This window comes from Homo sapiens, chromosome 2 (genome assembly GCF_000001405.40).
Source record: "Homo sapiens chromosome 2, GRCh38.p14 Primary Assembly".
Classification (NCBI taxonomy): Eukaryota; Metazoa; Chordata; class Mammalia; order Primates; family Hominidae; genus Homo; species Homo sapiens.
In genome coordinates this window covers 19,967,581-19,989,886 of record NC_000002.12, presented here as the reverse complement: position 1 = coordinate 19,989,886, position 22,306 = coordinate 19,967,581, and the positions used below count along the sequence as shown (strand labels likewise).

General features: G+C 37.2%; 1 protein-coding gene and 1 pseudogene across 5 annotated transcripts in view, besides 1 other annotated feature; both read left to right on the top strand.

Annotated features, from left to right (window-relative positions):
- WDR35 (WD repeat domain 35) overlaps nt 1–22,306 on the top strand; it is a 79,843-nt gene that overhangs the window by 219 nt on the left and 57,318 nt on the right. For all 5 annotated transcript variants that reach the window (XR_426989.4, XR_939699.4, NM_020779.4 and 2 more), the window contains exons 2-9: nt 605–722; nt 7,353–7,424; nt 9,104–9,196; nt 11,008–11,136; nt 14,224–14,357; nt 15,254–15,419; nt 16,179–16,324; nt 20,282–20,407. Coding sequence is in view for 3 of the 5 variants with exons in the window: in NM_020779.4 (NP_065830.2) it covers nt 605–722; nt 7,353–7,424; nt 9,104–9,196; nt 11,008–11,136; nt 14,224–14,357; nt 15,254–15,419; nt 16,179–16,324; nt 20,282–20,407 (984 nt within the window). In the remaining 2 variants the exon portion in view is untranslated. The remainder of the gene's footprint in view (nt 1–604; nt 723–7,352; nt 7,425–9,103; nt 9,197–11,007; nt 11,137–14,223; nt 14,358–15,253; nt 15,420–16,178; nt 16,325–20,281; nt 20,408–22,306) is intronic.
- Nucleotides 2–51: an enhancer, noted in NCBI's record as "active region_15371". NCBI's record gives its function as "activates an Ori minimal core promoter by ATAC-STARR-seq in GM12878 lymphoblastoid cells {active_cell/tissue: GM12878}" and the evidence as "EXISTENCE:reporter gene assay evidence [ECO:0000049][PMID:35858748]".
- RNFT1P1 (ring finger protein, transmembrane 1 pseudogene 1) lies at nt 4,841–5,766 on the top strand (annotated as a pseudogene).

Sequence of the window (22,306 nt, the reverse complement as noted above, 5' to 3'; positions counted from 1 at the left end):
GGCTTCGCCATTCCGCAGCCATCCTTCCCGCCGGGTCCAGCCTCCGACCTCTTCCTGCGGTTCCCAGAGCCTCAGTCTTTGGCCGAGCTTGCTGCCCTCTCGCAGCACTCTCCCATTCCTGCCCCTGGCTAGGTCCTTTTGGGTGGCTTGAGGATAAGTCGCCACGTGCTACCCTATGTTTCCTCCTCCACTTGTTGCTGATCCACGTGATTTAAACTCTTTGGATCACCACGAGCCATTGGGCAAGAGAAAAGAAATAACAATAGGATAGCCTAAGTTGTAGGTAAAAAGGAAGAGGGACTGGTGGTATGGATTTATACCCTCTCCCCGTCCTCCCTTTAAAAAATCCATCCGGTGAGACTCTGGCGTTGGCTTCCTCCGCAGTCACTATCCTTCTCTTTTGTGCACTTCTTTCCCTCTTTCCCAAATGCTAGAGCCCGGGTCAGTTCAGGGGACCATGCCCATTTTCACAACAGCTCATTTTTTTTCTGCAAGGCCGTTCGTTTTTCTTCTTGGAAGATTTTCTTCAGCTTTCATCTCCTGCAGACTTACTTCCCAGCTCCTTCGTGAAAAGTTGCTAGTGCGGCTGTGGTTGCTTTTTCAGATTTCCATTCCCAATAACGTGAAGCTGCAGTGTGTATCCTGGAACAAGGAACAAGGGTTCATAGCATGCGGTGGTGAAGATGGATTACTGAAAGTTTTGAAATTAGAGACGCAGACAGGTAAATGAATGCAAGCCCACATGTTTGGTAGTAAATTGGCTAATGTTATTTGTTCAGTGCGGTCTACTCATGTTATCTGTCAATATGCAGTTCTGATTATTTTAAAGGGAAAACTACCAAAACATTTTATGGTGTTTTTCTGGAGTATATTTGCAATAAAGTTCAGAGAATGTTGAATGTAAACATCGGATGGTTTTTGCTGAGTTATTAATGGAAAATGAAAAATAATGAAGAATGAAAATAAGTCACTGTGTTATGCTATGTCTAATTATTGTACTATATTATTAGGAGTCTAAAAGAAATCCTGTGAGTCAACATTTCACTAAGAAAATCTGGCAGATTGTTTACAGGTCTGTGTCATCCTTTCTGCTTATCAGATGCATTAATGGTTATTCACCTAGTGTCCAAGAACAGAAAATGGGATACGTTTTACATTTCTATTAGTAGGTCTCTTGTCTTTGCTGCTTGATTTCTTTCTTTATCTAGTTCTCTGGAATCACAGCAAACAGCTTCCCACTTCTTAGCCCCCCTAGATTGAAGACCTAGATAAGGTAATTGGAGTTAAATCTCAGCTCTTCCACAAGACTACTGAATGACTTTCAACAAGTTAGCTGAGGATCTTACTACTTTAGTTTAGTCTTCCATAAAATGAAAATGTAGGGGGTTAAACTGCATTACATTTTTGGATTCCTTACAACATAGCTTCTCAAACTGTATTAGGTATAAGAATCACTGGAAGAGGTTGTTAAGATGGATTTCATGCTCTACCCCCACACAATAGACCCGGGATGGGGCCTGAGAATTTCCATTTCTAGTGAAGCTGAGTTGCTGGTCCTCAGACCGCACTTTGAATAGCATTACCTTACAACTTTGAATGCGGTATGAATAATAAATACTTATTGACGATTTTCCATGTAGTGGATGTTTAACCTTCACAATCTTATTTGACTTCACAATAATCTTGGGCAGTAGGTATTCTAGGTGAGAAAATTGAGGCTCTGAGCTGTTAACTGCCCTAGGTCACGCAGCCAGTAAGTGGCGGAACAAGGATGTGAAACTAAGTTTGTCTCACATTCAAGTCCTTGTTTTTAACCACTACACAAAGGGCTAGTGGACAGCCTAAGTAAAGAAGAGTACCAATTAAAGTTTGGCTTATGCTGTTTTATAGTTCAATCTGTCAGTGCTTTAGTTTTTTAAAACTGTGTTAAAAGAAAGTTTTTCTCTGTTTCTTAAATGTGTATATAGATATATATATACGTGTGTATATATATATATGTGTGTCTGTATATACATACTTTTGCTTACAATATTTGGCAAGTTTTTTTTTTTTTTTTTTTTTTTGAGACAGAGTTTCGCTCTGTTGCCCAGGCTGGAGTGCAGTGGCTGGATCTCGGCTCATTGCAAGCTCCGCCTCCTGGGTTCATGCCATTCTCCTACCTCAGCCTCCCAAGTAGCTGGGACTACAGGTGCCCACCACCATGCCTGGCTAATTTTTTTGTATTTTTAGTAGAGACAGGGTTTCACCGTGTTAGCCAGGATGGTCTTGATCTCCTGACCTCGTGATCTACCCACCTCGGCCTCCCTAAGTGCTGGGATTACAGGTGTGAGCCACCGTGCCTGGCCTGCAAGTTTTAAATTACATTAAGAAGTGCATTCATTTTGTTTAACATTGAAGGCTTTTTTAAAAACAAACTTCTTTTTCTGCTCTGCCCTTTTGATGAGCTGTGACTGGAGTATTCTTTGAAATTAGTGAACAAGATGGGAAATCAATTCTTGGGAGGTTTGGAAAATGGAGTAAAGTATTTGTTTTGGAACTGAATGATTATGAATTGTGCTGAAAGAAATAAATATGAGGAATATGGCTGTGAGAGTCTAACAAGATCAGTATATTATATTTAATACAACTAGTGTTGATTCAGCAGATCCGTCCAGTAACAATCATAGATATTGCATGCCTGCTTTCTATGAAGCACTGTGTTGTGCTAAAGATGCAACATGTGAAGTATAATGTGTTGTAGTTTGGGTACAGCAACATAATACAGCAATCCTCTACGTCCATAAATCATCTTCTATGGCACCATTGTTAATGTCTATTTAGTATTTCATTATATTGGTATTAATATATCATAATTTGCTTAACCAATTTTAGTATTGGACATTTAGGTGTCTCCACATTTTTACTATTAAAGCAACTGTATCTTTGTATCCAAATCTTTGCATAAATAGTTAATACTTTCTACGATAAATCTCTAGAAATGGCATTCACTGGATCGAAGAGTGTGTACATTTATACAAGTTCCTAATATGTGTACACAAATTACCCTCCAGAAAGTTTGCACCACATTGCATTTCCAGTTTTCAGTTCCCTGCTCTAGAAGGAAAGGAATTAGAACCAGCAATCCATCTTTTTACATCAGGTTTACTTCTCTCACAGGCCAGCTTCCAGTGTTTTGCTGGAGCCCATCTCCCTTCACCTTCTCAGGTACCTTTCTGCCAATTTATCCTCTCTCTCTCCTTTCAATATCAGTCCTCTCTCCTTTTCTCTCCCTCACCAGTGACTTTCATGTTCTAAATCTAATGGACAGCTTTTATTGACTCATCAGGATTTGACTTGAAACATTATTTTTCCAGACAAGAGAATTCAGAATGTTTAAGTTATTGTTATATTTAGACGTACTACTTTTCTCTCCTTCTCTGGTCAGTCCTCAGTCTCTTTGCTAGATTTCCCTCTTCTATTAGAATTCCTGAGAACTTGCTTCTGGGCTCTCTATTCACTTGCTCTATTTATTCTTTCATTCTCATGCCCTTAAATGCCATCTGTGGTATGAGGTGAAGAGCCCCACATTTATATCTCCAGCCCAGTCCTGATTTTTCAGACGTGGGTGTCTCCACTGGAGTCTTTCACAGGTATCTCCTATTTACTGTGTTCAAAACCGAACTCTTGATATTCTTCCAAATCTCTTTCAATTCTCTCCATTTCAGCAAATATCTCCATTTCACTCATTTGCTCAAGCTGGAAATCTTCTCTTTTCCTCCGTTAACAACATCTGCATCAGCAATCCTGTTGCTTTTGTCTCCAAAGTGTATGTTGAACCCATCCTTTCCTTTGTCTCCCCTGCTCCCTCTATAGCTCCAGCTACCATCATCCCTCACCTGGTCTATTGTGAGAATCAGTTTCCCTCCTTCCATTGTCTCTGGCTTCCTCTTAGTCGTTCTTGACACTCTAGCCAGTGTCAGGCTTTTTTTTTTTTTTTTTTTTTTTTTTCCCGAGATGGGGTCTCACTCTGTTGCCCAGGCTGGAGTGCAGTGGTGCAGTCTTGGCTCACTGCAACTTCCACTTCCCGGGTTCAAGCAATTCTCCTGCCTCAGCCTCCTGAGTAGCTGGGATTACAGGTGCGTGCCACCACGCCCAGCTAATTTTTTGTATTTTTTTTTTTTTTTTTAGTAGAGACGGGGTTTCACCGTGTTAGCCAGGATGGTCGTGATCTCCTGACTTCAAGTGACTCGCCCGCCTGGGCCTCCCAAAATGCTGGGGTTACAGGCGTGAGCCACTGCGCCCGGCCCTTTTTTTTTTTTTTTTTTTTAAAGGGACCAGATGATGTCATTTCCTTGCCAAAAGGTATTTAAAGGGCTGACAGCCTGGGTTGGAGCTGCTTGTGGTAGGGTTTGAGGATGATGGTCCTGGGTTGGAGCTGCTTGTGGTAGGGTTTGAGGATGATGGTCCTGGGTTGGAGCTGCTTGTGGTAGGGTTTGAGGATGATGGTCCTGGGTTGGAGCTGCTTGTGGTAGGGTTTGAGGATGACGGTCCTGGGTTGGAGTTGCTGGTGGTAGGGTTTGAGGATGATGGCCCTGGGTTGGAGCTGCTTGTGGTAGGGTTTGAGGATGATGGCCCTGACTAGGATTGAGGTGGCATTTCTTGCTTTTTCTGCTACGACTGCCAAGGCCTCCACCCTCATCCTCATGAGAGGAAATAGAGAGCCCTGGAAGCCAACATTTGCATCAGAGAAAAAGTATATAGGGCCATGGAAGCCAACTGCAGCTGACTGCGCAGTCCTCCGGTACCTGCAGGCAGTGACATTGCCTCAACCTTCCAATATGCCCAGGACAACAAAATTGACCAGAAATCTCAGGTAAGGTGTCCTTAGCTAGACCCAGGGATGCATACAGAGTCCTTTGCAGTCAGTCATTCACACAGAGAAGCAAGGCAACCAGATGATCCTGCCAGAGAATCTGGCGAATATGGTACCATCTCTTTCTCAGAATTGTATTATCCTTATGTGTTGCAAAACAGTCTTCTGTATATTTTGATTCTAGGTTTCAAGCTTATTTTGCAGCATGTAACAGGAATTTCTGTTGAAATTGGGCTGCTGACAACTTTTATGAATGCAAACAAAAGCATTGGCAGTCACGCTTTTCTAAGAGAAAGATTCTCAAAGATTTAGTGTGCTTGGTTATTGGTGTTATTAGCATGATCTTCTGTTCTTCTATGTCATACCTTTTGTTTTCAGTTGCTTTATTACACCTTAATTTTTTAAAAGCCTTCTTTGGACTTTTTGATGTACTTCGGATTGTTGGAATAACTGATTTCATTCTGAAATTCCTTTACATGAGTTTAAAATGCTTTATTTTATTGGTGACTTCTTCGATTATGCCTTTTAAATCCAAGGATTACTGTTATGTGCTTTTAGAAGATTTATGTCAGTATTACCAGATTTTTGTTCACATACCAGTTTGGTTTCATTACCTTATTGGCTATCTGGAGTCTAGTAATGTAACTGAATGGAATCTTGGGATATTATCGCTGGCTTTACTCTACATCATTTAAAACTTTTGGCCTTTTTATGGACATCTGAGAACTTTCAGGTGGGTTTTATGAATATTTTTTACATGATCAAGTTACGGAGTTGCTTCCAGCAAGAGACGTTTTCAGATGTGGATGATATTTGTTCAATATATCAAGCTGAATTTCAAAGCCTGTTCTTAACTGTCAGCATGTGTTTTGTCAAGAGTATGCTACCTTATGGTCTAACAGAGGGCAAACATGGGTGGTCAATCTAAATCTCATATGACCCATTTCACTTAGGTTATAGTGACATCAGAATATGTGGGTGTGTGTATATATGTATATATATATATATATATATATATATATATATATATATGCATTAGAATGGATTTTTCAGTGCTAGAAGTTAAGAAAAATGTTTCCACCAAATATTTTAGAATATTATAATAAAGTTTAAGTATGTTGTACAATTTTTAAAAGATTAAATGAATGAAAGAACCCTGTGTTAAAAAAAATTATGTTCAGCCTAATGTGTGTGTCAGCAACATTTATTCTATCTTAATTGACAGATGATTGCATTGTTAAACTGTACATGTGTACTCTTGTGTTACCAAAACAACTGGGTAATTAGAACTAGTGATTTAGAGGAAATTAGGTATCTTTTCCTGACAATGTTTTCAGAATAAAGGATATTTTTCATAATATTTTAAGATACTTGTTATCTGAAAGTAGAATTTTCTTTAGCATTGGTATAATTCCCATTCTCACAAATTCTTAAGATCTTCATAACATTTGTATTTTAAATGAAAATTTTAAATGCTATGTTTTATGTGTAACAGATTTCTAAGCCAAGATTAATTTATTGAGATGACATTTTAATATTCTCTGTAGGATGGTTAGTAAATTTTTAAGACGTCTTTAGAGGTTTTCATTGCACTTTGGATAAAATCTAAAATTCTTATCATTTTCTACAAATACTTCATAGTTTTTCTTGTGCCTATCACTCCAGCCTTGTTTGATGCAATTTTCTCCCCTGTTCATCCACATAGGCCTTCTTAGAGTTTGTCAAGGGCTCTAGTTGTCTACCTCAGAGCCTTTATGTTGCTGTGTCCTAGCCTGGAATACTCCCCTTCTTTCTCTACCTTTCCTGGCTATCTCCAGTTTACCTCTCAGTCTCAGCTTAAATATCAGTTCTTCTGATAGCCTTCCCTGGTTCCCCATCAATCTAAATTAAGTCACTTCTGCTACTCTTTCTTATTATGCTTTCACATTCCCAGTTTATAGTTACATTTATGTGTATGTGAGTATATATTTAATATTGGTCCCTTAGACTGAAAGCTCTGAGAAGAAAGGGGAAATGACTGTTTTGTTCACCATTTTATATGTAGAACCTTTTGTAATGCATAGCACAGTGTACACATTTCATAAATATTTGTTAAATGAATGAATAAATGAGTGAATATAAGATTCTGTGTAATCTAGTAAAAACCCATTTTCAAAGTCTATGCTCTTTTGATCCCTTGTAAGCTGTAGAGTTTTCAATCTGTAGGCCATAAATATTTCTATTTGTGGTCTTTTGGAAAGGAATAAAAAGCAGTGATGATTATTAATATATGTAATGTATGAGTAAACAATCTTCATTTATATATTTTGCTTTATTTTACCAGAATATCTTTGCAAGGGGTATGTGTTATTGTTCATGTTTATACCATGAGAAAAATATATCAGAATGGGGCATACTTAGAAAAATGATTAATACTGCCCAGGAATACAAAAAGAGTCAAAATCTTATAATATGTCACTTTTACATATTTATCATAGTAGTTTGTTTTGTTTTGTTTTAGATGATGCAAAATTGAGGGGCCTTGCAGCCCCCAGTAACCTTTCTATGAATCAGACTCTTGAAGGTCATAGTGGTGAGTCATTCAATTTCTTTTAAGTCATGTTTGAGTGGTATTTAGGCATTTAGAAAGTTTCTACTTAATGCAGAAATGTCAACATTTTAAATAATGGTAATATTTACAGTACAGATGCTCTTTGAGTTACGATGGGGATATGTTCCAATAAACCCATTGTAAGTTGAAAATGCATTTAATACACCTAACCTACTGAACATCGTAGCTCTGCCTAGCTTACCTTAAATATGCCCAGAAAACACTAGCCTACAGTTGGGCACAATCATCTGACATAAAGCCTATTTTATACTAAAATGTTGAATATCTTATGTAACTTATTGATTTCTGTACTAAAAGTGAAAAACAGAATGGTTGTATGGGCACTCGAAGTACGGTTTCTACTGAATGTGCATTGCATTCCCATCACCGAAAAGTCATTTAAGTAGTACCATTGTAAGTTGGGAGCTGTTTGTAATCATTTCTGTTGAGACATAAGTAATACAACTTAGAGTCATTCAACTTTTACATGATTAAACAACATCTTAAATAAATCTAGAAGAAAATAGCTGTTTTTAATATATTGAAAATACTCCTGTCTATGGATGTTGTATATATAATCCTTTTTAGAATCTGTCCTATGATTCCAGATTAAAGGAGACTGAAGAGACTGGGTGTAGTGGCTAACACCTATAGTTCAAGCACTTTGGGAGGCCAAGGTGGGAAGACTGCATGAGGCTGGGATTTTGGAACCACCCTGGGCAACATAATGAGACCCTGTTTCTACAAAAAATAAAAAAAATTAACCAGGCGTGGTGCTGTGTGCCCGTAGTCCCCAGTACTCAGGAGGCTGAGGTGGGAGGATCGCTTGAGCTCATGAGTTGGAGGCTGCAGTGAGCCATGATTGTGCCACTGCATTCCAGCCTTGGTGACAGTGCAAGATCCTGTCTCAAGAAAAAAAAAGACTAAAGACTGAAGATGTATAACAACTAAATGCACTGTATAATCCTAGATTGGATCTTGGAATGAGAAGAACAAGTGTCTATAAAGGACATTATTTGGACAATTGGTAAAATTTGTATATGGACTGTGAGTTAGATAATAGTATATCAGTGTTAAACTTCCTAATTTGTAATATGATTATGGAAGAGAATGTCTTTATTTTTAGGAAATGTACACTAAAGTATTTAGGGATTAAAAAATTAAAAGTCATCAATTATTCACGTACCCTAGAGGTTTAAGATATGCTCAAGAGTGTTTTACTAATAGAATGGAAAACGAGTGAGAGGTGGGCAGAAGAGAGATTATAGGACATATCTACCAAAAATGATAAAAGTCCCCTAAACAAGTACTTGTTATGGTGTCCTTTGAACATCATTATTTTTGGGAGTCAGGCCAATTGAGTAAACCATGCTTGTATTTGTTTCTGTCATCAGGTATATGGTAGTTCTGGTAGCTAGCCATGATTGGTGTCTTTACTGGGATGAAATAGGGATAGATATGAAAAATAGTATTATGCATTGTTGTAGAAAATTAGTGATATCAATAACTGCATCTTATGAATAGGTTTTGAGGAATATTAAAGACTAGTTAGCTGTACAGGAACCATATTGATTTTAACATGATCTTGGTGTTTATATAAAAATGTGAATTTGAAATTAATTGTAACCTTTAAGTTTCTAAATTGTTTTATAATGTTCTAGGTTCTGTTCAAGTTGTAACATGGAATGAGCAGTATCAGAAGTTGACTACCAGTGATGAAAACGGGCTTATCATTGTGTGGATGTTATATAAAGGTATACTTTACTAGGAGAGATTATTTAATTTTTCACAAGTTGGCATCTGGATCACAGTATTTGGATGGGTAAATAACATCTCCAAAATAGACCCCTTTTACTAACAACAGGAGTTCATCCTGACTGCACAGTGATAATATTTCTGGATTTATTGCTGCCTACTTTTCACTTTTTTAAAACTTTAACCCTGTTATTAAGAAAGTGAATTAGGTGACTGTTGGCCATCTCCAAAATGAACTTAGACTCTTAGCAGAAGAATAGCTTCTACTTGAGATAAGTCTTTTTTTTTTTCCAGATTTCCAATAAGAATTACTTCTAGGTAGTTCCAGTTTATAATTACATTCATGTGTGTGTGAGTGTGTATTTAATATTGGTTCCTCAGTAGACTGTAAGCTCTGAGGGGAAAGGGGAAATGACTGTTTGTTCATTTTATACGTAGAACCTTTTATAATACATAGCACAGTGTACATGTTCAATAAATATTTGTTGAATGAATGAATAAATGAGTGGCTAGAGTTATCTCAGTAGATAAAAACACATTTAGTAAGAAGTCAAAGGGAATAATTCACTTCCTGCATGGGCCAGTTAGTTTCCTTTTCTTTTATGGATACAGATTTTATCTCAACTCTGACTACTGGTTCACAGTTTGTCTATGAGAGAGGGTGAGTAAAAGAAGGATTAACTTAGATAATCCACTTTTACCAGAAAAGCAGCTCATAATACATGTTCTCCTGAGGCCTGTAGTTATCATCTTCAAAAGGGAAGGGTGCCTTAGTTCATGTGTGCTGTTTTGAAAAGTTCATGTGTGCTGTTTTAAATGGCAGGGCATACCATTTAAAAAGTCTTCATTAAAGATATGCTATAATACTTTAATTTTTTAAAAAGTGTGTGTGTGTGTGTGTGTGTGTGTGTGTGTGTAGGGGATAGAATGTGAAAGTTCAGTGGACTGGAGTAAACTTTGTCTGTTTCCAAGGTAGGTCTTCAGGTCTTCTCTGGGTCTCAGTCTCGATTCTGTTATCCTGCTCTGGGCAGTTATTCCAAATTACATGATTATTTGCTTGGCTGCAGGCCAGAGTTGCCCATGTTGGTATGTCAAAAAGCCTTTGAGAAAAGCAAAAACAAAATAGCCTATTTTTTTGCTTCTAGTTTGGTTATGCTAAAAGACAAGTTACATCTCATTCCTACCCTGCATACAACTAGAATATTTTTGTCATTCGGCATTAGAGATGTCGTGTCACTAATGTAGTATAAACTGATTAGAATTTTTTCAAGCAGGCTTAGGGTTTTACCTAATATGCTGTGTATTTTTTTGCCTTCATTCTCTTTGTGATGGTAACTAATATGCTGCATTTAATATGCTTGTAATTATTCATTGGAGAGTTTATGTGCATATGTATAAAGTTATTGTTACTTGGAGTTTTTTTAATTGGTTATGATCTGAACCATATTGTTCAAGTGGGAAAAGTTAGGCTTTCAGAAAAATCAGTAGTTTTAGCTCTGAAAAAGCAAATGAAGTTTAATTTTTAATTGACAGAAAGAAAGAGAGAGGGAAAGAAAGAAAGAAGAAACAAAGGATGGGCATTTATTATGTTTTCTGTGATAATCTTTGAAGCAGTTATCAGTTAAGCCCAAGTTAATTTTTCATTTTGTTTTTGTTGGATTTGGAAGTTTTATAGTTTAATGTCTCAGGTTGTAGAAAACTTTGCAGTTATTTGTCCCATGGCGTACTTTATGGAATGCTTTCAATTCTTAACTACTATTTAATAGATGTGAAAGTTTTGACTTGTAATTTTTTAAATTTGTGAAAACAGGCTCTTGGATTGAGGAGATGATCAACAATCGAAATAAATCAGTTGTTCGCAGTATGAGCTGGAATGCTGACGGACAGAAGATCTGCATTGTATATGAAGATGGGGCTGTGATAGTTGGTTCAGTGGATGGTAATGTATTGATTGGACATAGAACTAAGATCAATATCTGGCTGACAGTTTTCTTCTTTAGAGATTTAAGTTAGTTACCATATGTTAGCATTCTGATTGAAAAATAGACATAAAAGGGAAACTATTTGATATACAATTTGACGACATTCAAGAACCGTTCTTTGATTTTAACCATCTGTTTTTATGTATATTCAAGGAAATTTTTTTATTTCCTACAGTGGCATTGAAAAAATTGAATTAACTTTTCAGCATTATTTTAAACATGTCTGCCTCATTATGTAATTTCTTTTTATATTGGTTAGTCTGTACAAATATATAGACTTTAGTTTCAAAAAGTCTGTGGTCGTTTTTATTGGAACTGAATATGTCATTGTTGGTTGTAGTTTATAGCCTTAAAAACCTGTATTTTTCAAATTCTAGTAATAGATAAAACTGGGTCTTCTGAGAGTCTGCACCTTTGTTTTAATTTGAAACTCTGTAGATAAATAATTTATTTTAAAATCATTTTTATTTCTCTCTCTCGCTCGCTCTGTGTGTGTGTGTGTGTGTGTGTGTCTGTGTGTGTGTGTGTAACTTCATGTAGTCAACAAATGTTTCTGAGAGCCTATAAAGCAACAGCTATCATTTTAGGAACTAAGGGTACAGCAATGACCAGACCTAGATCAGGAGAGATGGATGAGTAACTGAGAAATTACAGTATCCTGTGATAAGCGCTAAGATGGGGAAAATACAGGAGCATGTAGAAGTGCCACCTAATGCAGACTTGGAGGGATCAGGAAAGGCTTCCTGGAGGAAGTGATGCTGATGCTGAGGCATTAGCCACAAGGTAGGTTGGTGTGTAGAATGTCTCTGCCCTAAGAAGTAGTATTTGAGGAGGTCCAGAGGAGTTGCACTTAGCTATGTTTGGGCCATTGAAAAAAGTTGATTATCAGTAGGGTATAATACTAACAGTGAAGAGTAGTATGCAGTGAATCTAGAGAGAGAAACAGAGGCCAGATCATGCAGATCATAAGTTATATTAAGGTGTTTGGACTTAAGTCCAACAGCACTTGGGAGGCCAATGAAAAGTTTTAAGAATGGGAGCAATGTGATAAGATTGTTCTTTAGAAACATCTCTGTGCTACATATGAAGAATAGAGAAAGGAAGGAAAGATAATGGGCAGCTGTATCAGGAAACTGCTCTGGCAATTCAGGTGAGAGATTATGGTGGATGGTAGCCATCCAGGTAATGACAAGGGAATGGAAGTAAGTAGATTTTATACATACTCAGGAGGCAGAATAGATAGGATTGGGGATGAGAGGATGGAAGTCCCCAGGGCAGTATCCAGAGTTTTAGCTTGGGCAGCTGGATGGATGGTAATGCCTTTCATTAAAATAGTGTGGAGAAAGATTGATTTTAAGGGAAAATTCCTCTGTTGGATATGTTGATTTTGTCATGCCATAGGCCATTCAAGTAAATCTATCCAGACCATAGTTAGACATACATATCTGCAGCTCAAAAATGTCTGTGCTGAACACAAAATTTTGGGAACCACCAGCATATGCATGGTAATTTAAACCATTGAAATAGTTGAACAAAACTAAGAGGCATTTGTAGAGTTAAGAATCAGCAACATTTAGGCTGGGGACAGTGGCTTATGCCTGCAGTCCCAGCACTTTGGGAAGCCAAGGCGGGAGGATTGCTTGAGCTCAGGAGTTTGAGACCAGCCTGGACAACATAGCAAGACCTTGTCTGTGCTAAAAATAAAAAAAAAACAAAACAAATTATCTGGGCGTGGTGGCATACTCCTGTAGTCCCAATCACCTGGGAGGCCAAAGTGGGAGGATTGCTTGAGCCTGAGAGGTTGAGGCTGCAGTGAGCCATCATCTTACCACTACACTCTAGCCTGGGCAAAAGAGTGAGACCCTGTCTCAGGAAAAAAAAAAAAATCAGCAACATTTAAGGGATAGGCAGAAGAAGGATGTCGAGAAATATAAGAGTCTTAGAGATAAAGGAGTATATGGGCTAATGGCAGCCAAGAGAGTTCAAGAAGGAGGGAGTGGTAAAAAAAAAAAAAAAAAAGTATCAATTGGCTTTAGCAACAGGCCATCAGTGACGTCCATGAAGGCAGTTTCTTTCTTTTTTTTAAACAACAGAAATTTATTTTCTCAGAGTTCTAGACTCTAGAAGTCCAAGATCAAGATGTCAACAGGTTTGGTTTCTTCTTTTTTTATTTATTATTTTTATAGATTTAGAGGGTACAAGTGCAGGTTTGTTATATGGATATATTGAATATTGGTGAGGTCTGGACTATTAGTATATAACCATAACCCAAATAGTGTATGTTGTAGGCAGTTTCAATGGAGTTGTGGGGCAGAAGCCAGATTGGGAGGGGTTAAGGGTTGAGTGGCAGTTGAAGTGGAGACTATAGGTGTGAAGAACTCTTTCATGAAGTTTGGTTGGGAAAGGAATGGTAGAAATAGTAGTTAGAGGGGGAACTTGGGGTTAATAAAAGTGTTTATTTTATTTAGGGTGATGGTTTCAAAGAGAAATAGATCTGCATGTGTTTAAATCCACATAAGAAAGGCCCTGGAGTGAAGAGTTTAATGAGAAAGAGAAAATGAGAGTAGTCGATAAAGGGAGATCTTTGCAAAGGTAGGAAGGGATTAGATCAGAGAATACATAGAGGAATTAGCCTTGGATAGGGGACTGACTGGGGAAATACCTCTTCTTTTGTATTAGTGGGCAACGCAGAAAGTGTAAGCATGGACTCAGTTATGTTCTGAATTGTTGAAGATGGGAATGAGGAATTTGTTTTTTGGGTGCTTTTATTTTCTTTCCAAAATAGAAGATGGGCTCAACTGCTAATTGGGAGTGAGATCCAGCATCAGAGTTTAGAAGAAAGGGGAGAAAGGTTGAAACAGCTGCTATTTCAGATGTCTTTTCAGGCACATATAGGTGCTCAGTAAATATTTATTGGCCAAATAAATTGAATGAATGCATGAATGCTGTGAAGAATTTGTGAGATCTTTAGAAAAACAAAGATTTCGAAAGCCGTTGTTGGAGGATCATGACCTTGAACAACTTTTAATAATGTTTTGTTTTAGGCAATCGTATTTGGGGAAAAGACCTGAAGGGTATACAGCTATCCCATGTAACATGGTCTGCGGACAGTAAAGTCTTACTTTTTGGAATGGCAAATGGGGAAATACACATTTACGATAATCAAGGAAATTTTATGGTAAGTAAGTGTATGCATCAGTCTTGTTTATACAATTTTATATGATTATCGTACATATCATTCATGTTTGTATATACATTTATTTTTTATGGCGGTTTGTGTAATTAAAGTCTTCAATTCAGATTTTTTTTCTTTTTCCCAATCGTCTAAATTTTGTTTTAATTAAATAAAATTTTGGTTTTCTCAAGGCAAATTAGTGCAACAAGTTCGAGTGTAGCTTTTAGTTCCAATTTTTTTTGGTAGGTAGAAAGGACGAGGTGTCAGTGCATTTAAGCAGAGAGATAATGAGTAGGGCGATGTGCAGTTTAAGTTTTATAGGTGTCTTCTGGTGTCTGAAGCCAAAGTTTACATGTAGATACCACAGGGTATTTTTGTAGCAAGCTACCAATGGTTGTTTGTAAAAAGAATGACAGACTTAAATGGTAAGTGAGAAAAATCAATCCCTGGAAAGAAGGTAAAATAGAATAGGATCAGGCAGCATAATCTGGAGAAAAATTCTGGCTTTGCAAGGTTTAGCTATCATAGATGTATGATTACTGGTGGGGCAGTTTTGTTTTTTAGCAAGGGTTAGGACATTAAGTAAATCCACTCACTGGTGGAAGTAAAATAATGAACTTTTATGTCATTTTGCTGTTTTCAAAGTACTTTTATATACTTGTTGTTTGAGTCTCATAAAAACTCAGTGTTTTTTAATCCTCATTTTTTACATGTGGGGAAAATGGACATTTAGGTGATTTGTCCATGGCCTGTATACCAGTAAGTGATTAAGCTTTAATTTGCCACCTGATTTTTAGACTGTATTTTTCAGTGTTCTTTCTACAATACTCTATTGAGTATTGTCTCTATACTGCTGTGTTTTAAAATGTAAAATATTAAACCTAACCAATTTTATTTAGATAAAAATGAAACTGAGTTGTTTGGTGAATGTCACTGGAGCTATCAGCATTGCTGGAATTCATTGGTACCATGGCACAGAAGGCTACGTGGAGCCTGATTGCCCTTGCCTTGCTGTTTGCTTTGATAATGGAAGATGCCAAATAATGAGACATGAGAATGACCAAAGTAAGGAATTTTTCTGTTTAAAAAATTTTTTTAATTTCTATTTTTTTTTTTTTCTTTTTGAGATGGAGTCTCACTCTGTCGCCCAGGCTGGAGTGCAGTGGCACGATCTTGGCTCACGGCAACTTCTGCCTCCCGGGTTCAAGCGAATTTCCTGCCTCAGCCTCCCGAGTAGCTGGGACTACAGGGCGTGCCACTATGCCTGGCTAATTTTTTATATTTTTCGTAGAGACGGGGTTTCACCCTGTTAGCCAGGATAGTCTCTATCTCCTGACCTCGTGATCCACCTGCCTCAGCCTCCCAAAGTGCTGGGATTACAGGCGTGAGCCACTGTGCCCGGCCTCAATTTCTAATTTTTAACTTTTTTTTTTTTGCGACAGGGTCTTGCTCTGTTGCCGAGGCTGGAGTGCAGTGGTGCGTTCTTGGCTCACTGCAGCCTTGGCCTCCCAGGCTCAAGGTCTCAGCCTCCTGAGGAGCTGGGACCACAGGTGTGCACCAACTCCTCCAGCTAATTTTTGTATTTTTCGTAGAGACAGGGTTTCACCATGTTGCCCAGGCCGATCTTGAACTCCTGGACTCAAGTGATCCGCCCGCCTCAGCCTCCTAAAGTGTTGGGATTATAGGCGTGAGCCGTTGTACCCAGCCCTGTTTTTTTAAAAATGTGGAAAGTTTTAAAAATGTTTAAAAGTTGTTCTTAAGATTATAAAGTTCTCTAGGCTACGTATTTTCCCACAGTGACCTCATTTTTCTCTTTCTGACTAGATCCCGTTTTGATTGACACTGGCATGTACGTAGTAGGCATCCAGTGGAACCACATGGGCAGCGTGTTAGCTGTGGCAGGCTTCCAGAAGGCAGCCATGCAGGACAAAGATGTGAACATTGTGCAGTTTTACACTCCGTTTGGTGAGGTAAATGCATTCAAATTGATCTTCTTTCTTTCTATTTAAATGTGCAGTGAGTAAGGTAGAGGAAAAAATAACAAAGGAAACGGTGTAAACTTATCACATTTTCTTTTAGGGACATTTCATCTTCATAGTATAAATCTTTGTTGTATTTTATCATGGAATTTTATAATCTTATAGTTTTATAATTATAAAATAAAAATTACAATTTTATACATTCAGAAAACCAGAAGTTTAACATAAGAAATCACCATGGAGTAGTTATTTTGAATATTTTCTCTGTGATCTGAATATGTGTCTCTTTTCATAGCCAGCTTTTGAGTAGTATTTAGTATAATATAGTTGTTTCAGATTAATTTTTCTGATTTTTAATGTGATATTTTAAATGTGTTTAGATGTTAAACATACATATCTGTCTGTCCTTCCTTCAAACTTCTAATACTTTTAATTTGTTGCAAAGTAATCAGTTATTTGAAGAAAATTTAATAATTAATCTTAGGTGATGCTACATTAAAATAAAAGCATTGTTTTCATAAATGTACATATGAGTATTATCCTTCTCAATAGTATTTTTAATAAATTTAATTTTAAAAGAATTTTCAGAAGTAGCATTGGAAAATGTCAAGTAGGAGAATTAATATATTGTGAATTTTAAAGAATTTAGAAAGTGAGAGCTTATTAATAACTAAGCTTAATACGTTTTTTGAATGTCTTATTTTCTAACCCAGTACTATATTTTGTCCCTTTTGAATACCCTGTTGGCTTTTATAAATTCGCCATAGACTACAGTGATATATATTTTTGGCTGCATAAAAGCCTATACCAGTTGTTTTAATGTTATTTTTATATATTTTAATAATTTCTTTTAGGGCAAGAAATGATGTCTTCTGATGCTTTTGAATCAGTATCTCAAAGTTACCCAGTAGAATATACTGTAGAACGTAGATGCTCTCTATACATTGTCAAACGACAATATTTCTCGTAGATGTAAAAGTGAAGGAAAAAAAAAAGCATAGTTTTCAAGGTTCCTAAATAATTAAAAATCTGCATTCTAATTATTTCTATATTTATAGCCTCCTTCTTAATTCTTGTTCTTTATTGGTTATTTTTGTTGGTTGCCATTTACTTATTTATCATAATGTTTTATCTGCTTATTTTTGTTAGTTCAGCCTTCCCCAGGTAGAAAAACATGGGTTCTAAAGTCTGTTTGTTTGTCTTGCAAAACAATGTGTTAAGTGTTAAACGGAAAACTGTAAGTGGGGTTTGGTTTAGCTGTAACTAAAAGTATCTAGCATAGTTCCTCAGGTCATAGTAGTCAGTATTTTCTGAGTGAGTGAATATATGGGGAATTATTTGGATCTGTGTTATTGTTAAGGTAGGAAAGATAACCTGGATGGAAGTTATCTAACAATTTAAACTTAATGATTTAAACTTAAGAAAACCTCAGAGAAGAATTTGCTTTTAAATTCTGAGGGCCAGGGGCTCCTGGGTTTTGCACTGTGGTCTTAGCCATGGTAGGAGATAACAGAGCATAGGGTTTGTAGTCAAGTTGATCTGGTATTGAATTCATTTTCCACAGTGTAGTTTGACGTAGAGAAGTTATTTAGCCTCTGAGACACAGTTTAGTTATTTTCAGAAATAAAGGAAATACGTCATGGTGCTGTTGTAAAGATTAAAGGAGATTACAATGAGGAAATGCCTACACAGTGCCTGGCATGTAATGAGGGCTTACTAAAAGGTGGTTTTCTTTCCTTGCTGCTGCCACATCCTGGCTGGTTTGCAGTTAGAAGATGGTCGTATTCTCCTCCTCTTATGGATGGGTCAATACCAAGAGTACTGTAGAGGGCTTGCTGGTTCACCTTTAATTTCATACAGGTAGCAAGACAGATAGATCAGACCCTCCTAGGTTAAAACTTTGAGTTTTTTTCTTCCATTGGTTTCCTTGGGAAAATGGAGCTCAATACATTTGTCTTACTCTATTATGTGCTGCTATGACAGAATACCACAGACTGCATAGTATATATTAACAGAAACTTATTGGCTCACAGTTCTGGAGAATGAGAAGTCCAGTATTGAGCTACTGACATCTGGTGAGGGCTTTTCTGCTGCATAATTTCATGGTGGAAGGAAGAAGGGCAAAGAGAGTGCAACAGAGAGACAAGAGGGGACCTAATTCCCCTTTGTATAATGGCAGTAGTCCCAGCCATGAGGGCCCTCATGCCCTGATCACTGCTTAAAGGTCTCATCTCTTAATACTGTCAAAATGGCAATTACATTTCAATGTGAGTTTTGGAGGGGACAGACATTCAAACTATAGTAACATTAAATTTGACCCTAGAGGGTATCTGCTTAGAACAAGGGATACCAGTAAAGTTCATTGAAATTTTGGGGATTCTATCATTCTGTCAAATAAAAGATATAGATTAAAAATGTTCGATTGCCTTATAGCCACATTAAAAAAGTGTTTGTATTCATTTATTCACTCGTTAATTTGGTCATAAAAAGTACTGTTTATTTATTTTAAATTTTAAATTAAAAAAATTTGAATGTATATTTATTGAAGATATATATTGACTATCAGTTTATCAAATAATCTATTAATGGAAAGGGAAAGAAATGTGAATATGATACAGTTAGTACTCTTAAGGAGCTCATTCTGTAATTCTCTGGAACCATAGAATGGGGGAAGAAGGCAGGACTCGTTGAGGAAGCAGTATTTGAGCTGTATCTTGATGGATGAATAGGCGTGCTCCAGGAGGACAAGGACCAGTAAGGATAGGGGAGCTGTGAGGAAAGAAGAGGGGGATTTCAGGCAGAAGGGATATTGTATAGGCCAAAGCTGTGGAGGCAGAGTAGTTCCTTCACGAGCAGGCACACAGCAGTTATGGCTAAATAGTGGGATATTAAGCCACATAATATGATTTTGGACAAGATGGGAAAAAGGCATTGTATGCCATGCTAAAGAATGTGATGGTGGGGATTTACTGATTTTTAAAAGTTATTAAACCTTTTAAAAAGCAGGGTAGGTTATGATTAGATCTGTGTTCCAGAAAGATAATTGTGACAGCAGAGTATAGATTGAATTGGGAGGGCAGAGGGGGAGAATAAGGAAACAGATGAAAAGTAAGATATAAAGTTAGGAAGCTATTACCACAATGCAGTCCATTAAAAAGGTAATTGTAGAGAGTGGAAAGGAGTAAAAGCAGTAGGACTTGGTGACTCGTTGGTTGTGAGGGGATGAAAGAGAAAGACAAGACTTTATGATTGAATTTGCTAATAAAATATTTCATTGATTCTAAGAAATATAATTTTTTACAACTTTAAAATGAGGAGGCATCTTATAATCAAAGTTGCCATATTTTAATTAGCAATGTGTTTTTTCCTTTCCTTAGTTGTACATAAAAATTCATGTTTCAGTCTATGGCATTTTAGATTTGATGAAATTTGCTATTGAATTCTTTGGATATAGTTTGTAAATTTTTCTTATATGCATGTTTTTCATTATAAAAATTCAAGAAACGTGGCTGGGTGCGGTGGCTCACGCCTGTAATCCCAGCAGTTTGGGAGGCCGAGGCAGGCAGATCATGAAGTCAGGAGATCGAGACCATCCTGGCTAACACAGTGAAACCCTGTCTCTACTAAAAATACAAAAAATTAGCTTGGCGTGGTGGCGGGCGCCTGTAGTCCCAGCTACTCAGGAGGCTGAGGCAGGAGAATGGCGTGAACCTGGGAGGCGGAGCTTGCAGTGAGCCGAGATCACGCCACTGCACTCCAGCCTGGGTGAGAGTGAGAAATTCCGTCTCAAAAAAAAAAAAAAAAATTCAAGAAACATGATTTTAAAGTGACTAGTAACTTTTCACAAAATAATGTTCATACCACTTTTGATCTCTGTGAAGTGATTGGTGGTAATTTGTATTTCAGTTAATTGTTATACTTTAGGTTAAAGATAACTTTCTTTTTCAGCATCTGGGTACTTTGAAAGTTCCTGGAAAGGAAATATCTGCACTATCTTGGGAAGGAGGTGGACTGAAAATTGCACTAGCTGTTGATTCCTTTATATATTTTGCAAACATTCGACCTAATTATAAGGTAAATATTAAGAGCAGTTGTAAAATAAACAGTGTTTCTTACTAAATAATTTTGCTATAGCTCAAAGTATATTCAAAGCTGTCTTGTTTTAGGAGCTAGCAGAAAGGAAGCCTTTTTGTGTGAAGATTTTAGAACTAGTAAACTTTTCTAGAATACTATATATAGTTAGTAAAATTACTCCATGAGTCTTAGCCAGAAACAGATGGTACACTCAAAGGAGTAATTGAAGAGAGATTGATGAAGGGCTTATTACAGAGATGTGGGCAGGGCTAAAGGGAACAGTAAGGGATGATAAAAAGTACCACCCAAAGATTAGCGTCAATGAGAAGCCATCACCAGCCCTGGGCCTGAAGGGGCAAGACAAGGGAGTCAGGCTCCTGGAACCCACAAGAGCTGTGGCTGTGCAAGAGGGTCTGCTCTGCAGGAGCCCAGACCCTGCCAACCAGCCAGGCAGAGAGGGATTTGGGGAATAAATATTCCAACTCACCTCTCCACTTGCTGGTGCTTTCTATTGGCCAAACCCAAAGGGGAGCCAGATGGCCAGGTAGCCCAGGTGACGGAGTTCGTAGAAACTAGTCTCCAAGGCTCACGGCAGGGTAGAGAAGGGCAGAGAATGGATTAGAAGGAGAAAATGAGAATAAGCAACATAACATATAATCAGTATTTTATCTTGAATTTAACATTTGATCCAAAAGCAAGCTCTCAAATGTGAGATTGACCTGGTAAACTATTTGTTATAAAAATCTTATATATTTAATTTTGAAAAGGTAAAGGACCTTAGAGAAATGGCTGATTCTAGGACTAGGGCAGGGAAAATACAAGGTAAGCCTGGAACAGTTTATAGTCCCAGCAAGTAAGGAAGTGCTCAGACAACAAAAGGATGGGGAAATGTCAAAAGGACATTGCTGAAAGAGCCTCCCAATGGCCAAAGCTGGAGCACTTTGAATAATAAAATAAATGATGTATTATTTTATTGTGACCCAAAGTATAAATGCCCAAGAGTTGATGCTGATATAGATGGATTATTTGAATAAATAAATAAATGGGAGAGGAGAAACAGATCTTCCTTACAGAATTATTCCAGTTTACTTAGGTATTGCCTTCTCCAGGAGGTGGAACATAGGCCCCTGTTCCCCTGGCTTGAGTGTGGCTACACTTAGTTTCCAAAGAGTAGAGTATGGAGAGGGGAAAAAAAGTAGCTTTATATTGGTGAAACTTGTCAATCACACCTTGGCCAAGTGATAAAGGTTAACATCATTAGGAATGTCATGTGGCTATCACATGCCCCCTGATATGGCATGATAAAGAAGTGCACTTCGGTTCTGTGCTAGTCTTCCTAAAAACCTGAAGTCCAATCTAAGCATGAGGAAAACATCAGACAAACCCAAATTGAGGGACAATCTACAAAATACTTGACCAGTACTCCTCAAAACTGTTGAGGTCATGAAAAGCAAGGAAAGACTGAGAAATTGTCACACCCCAGAGGAGCCTAAGGAGACATGACTAAATCTAAGTATCCCAAATGGGATTCTGGAATAGTGAAAGGACATTCTGGAAAAGATAATGAAATCTAAATAAAGTATGATGTTTACTTAATAGTAATAGTAATATAGTTAATAGTGATGTTGATTTCCTAGTTGTGACAAATGTACCATGGTAAAGTAAAATGTTAACAATAAGGGAAATGGATGAGGAGTATATGGGAACTCTGTGCTATCTTTGCAACTTTTCTGTCCATCTAAAACTATTTTAAAGTAAAAAAACTTATTTTAGAAAGTAATCAGGATACAAAAAGCTAAACATGGTTTAGCTTAGTTTGTTTGAATGGTAAACACAATCATGATAATATCAACATGATATTTTATTTCATTTTTATATTTTTAATATAATTTATGTATT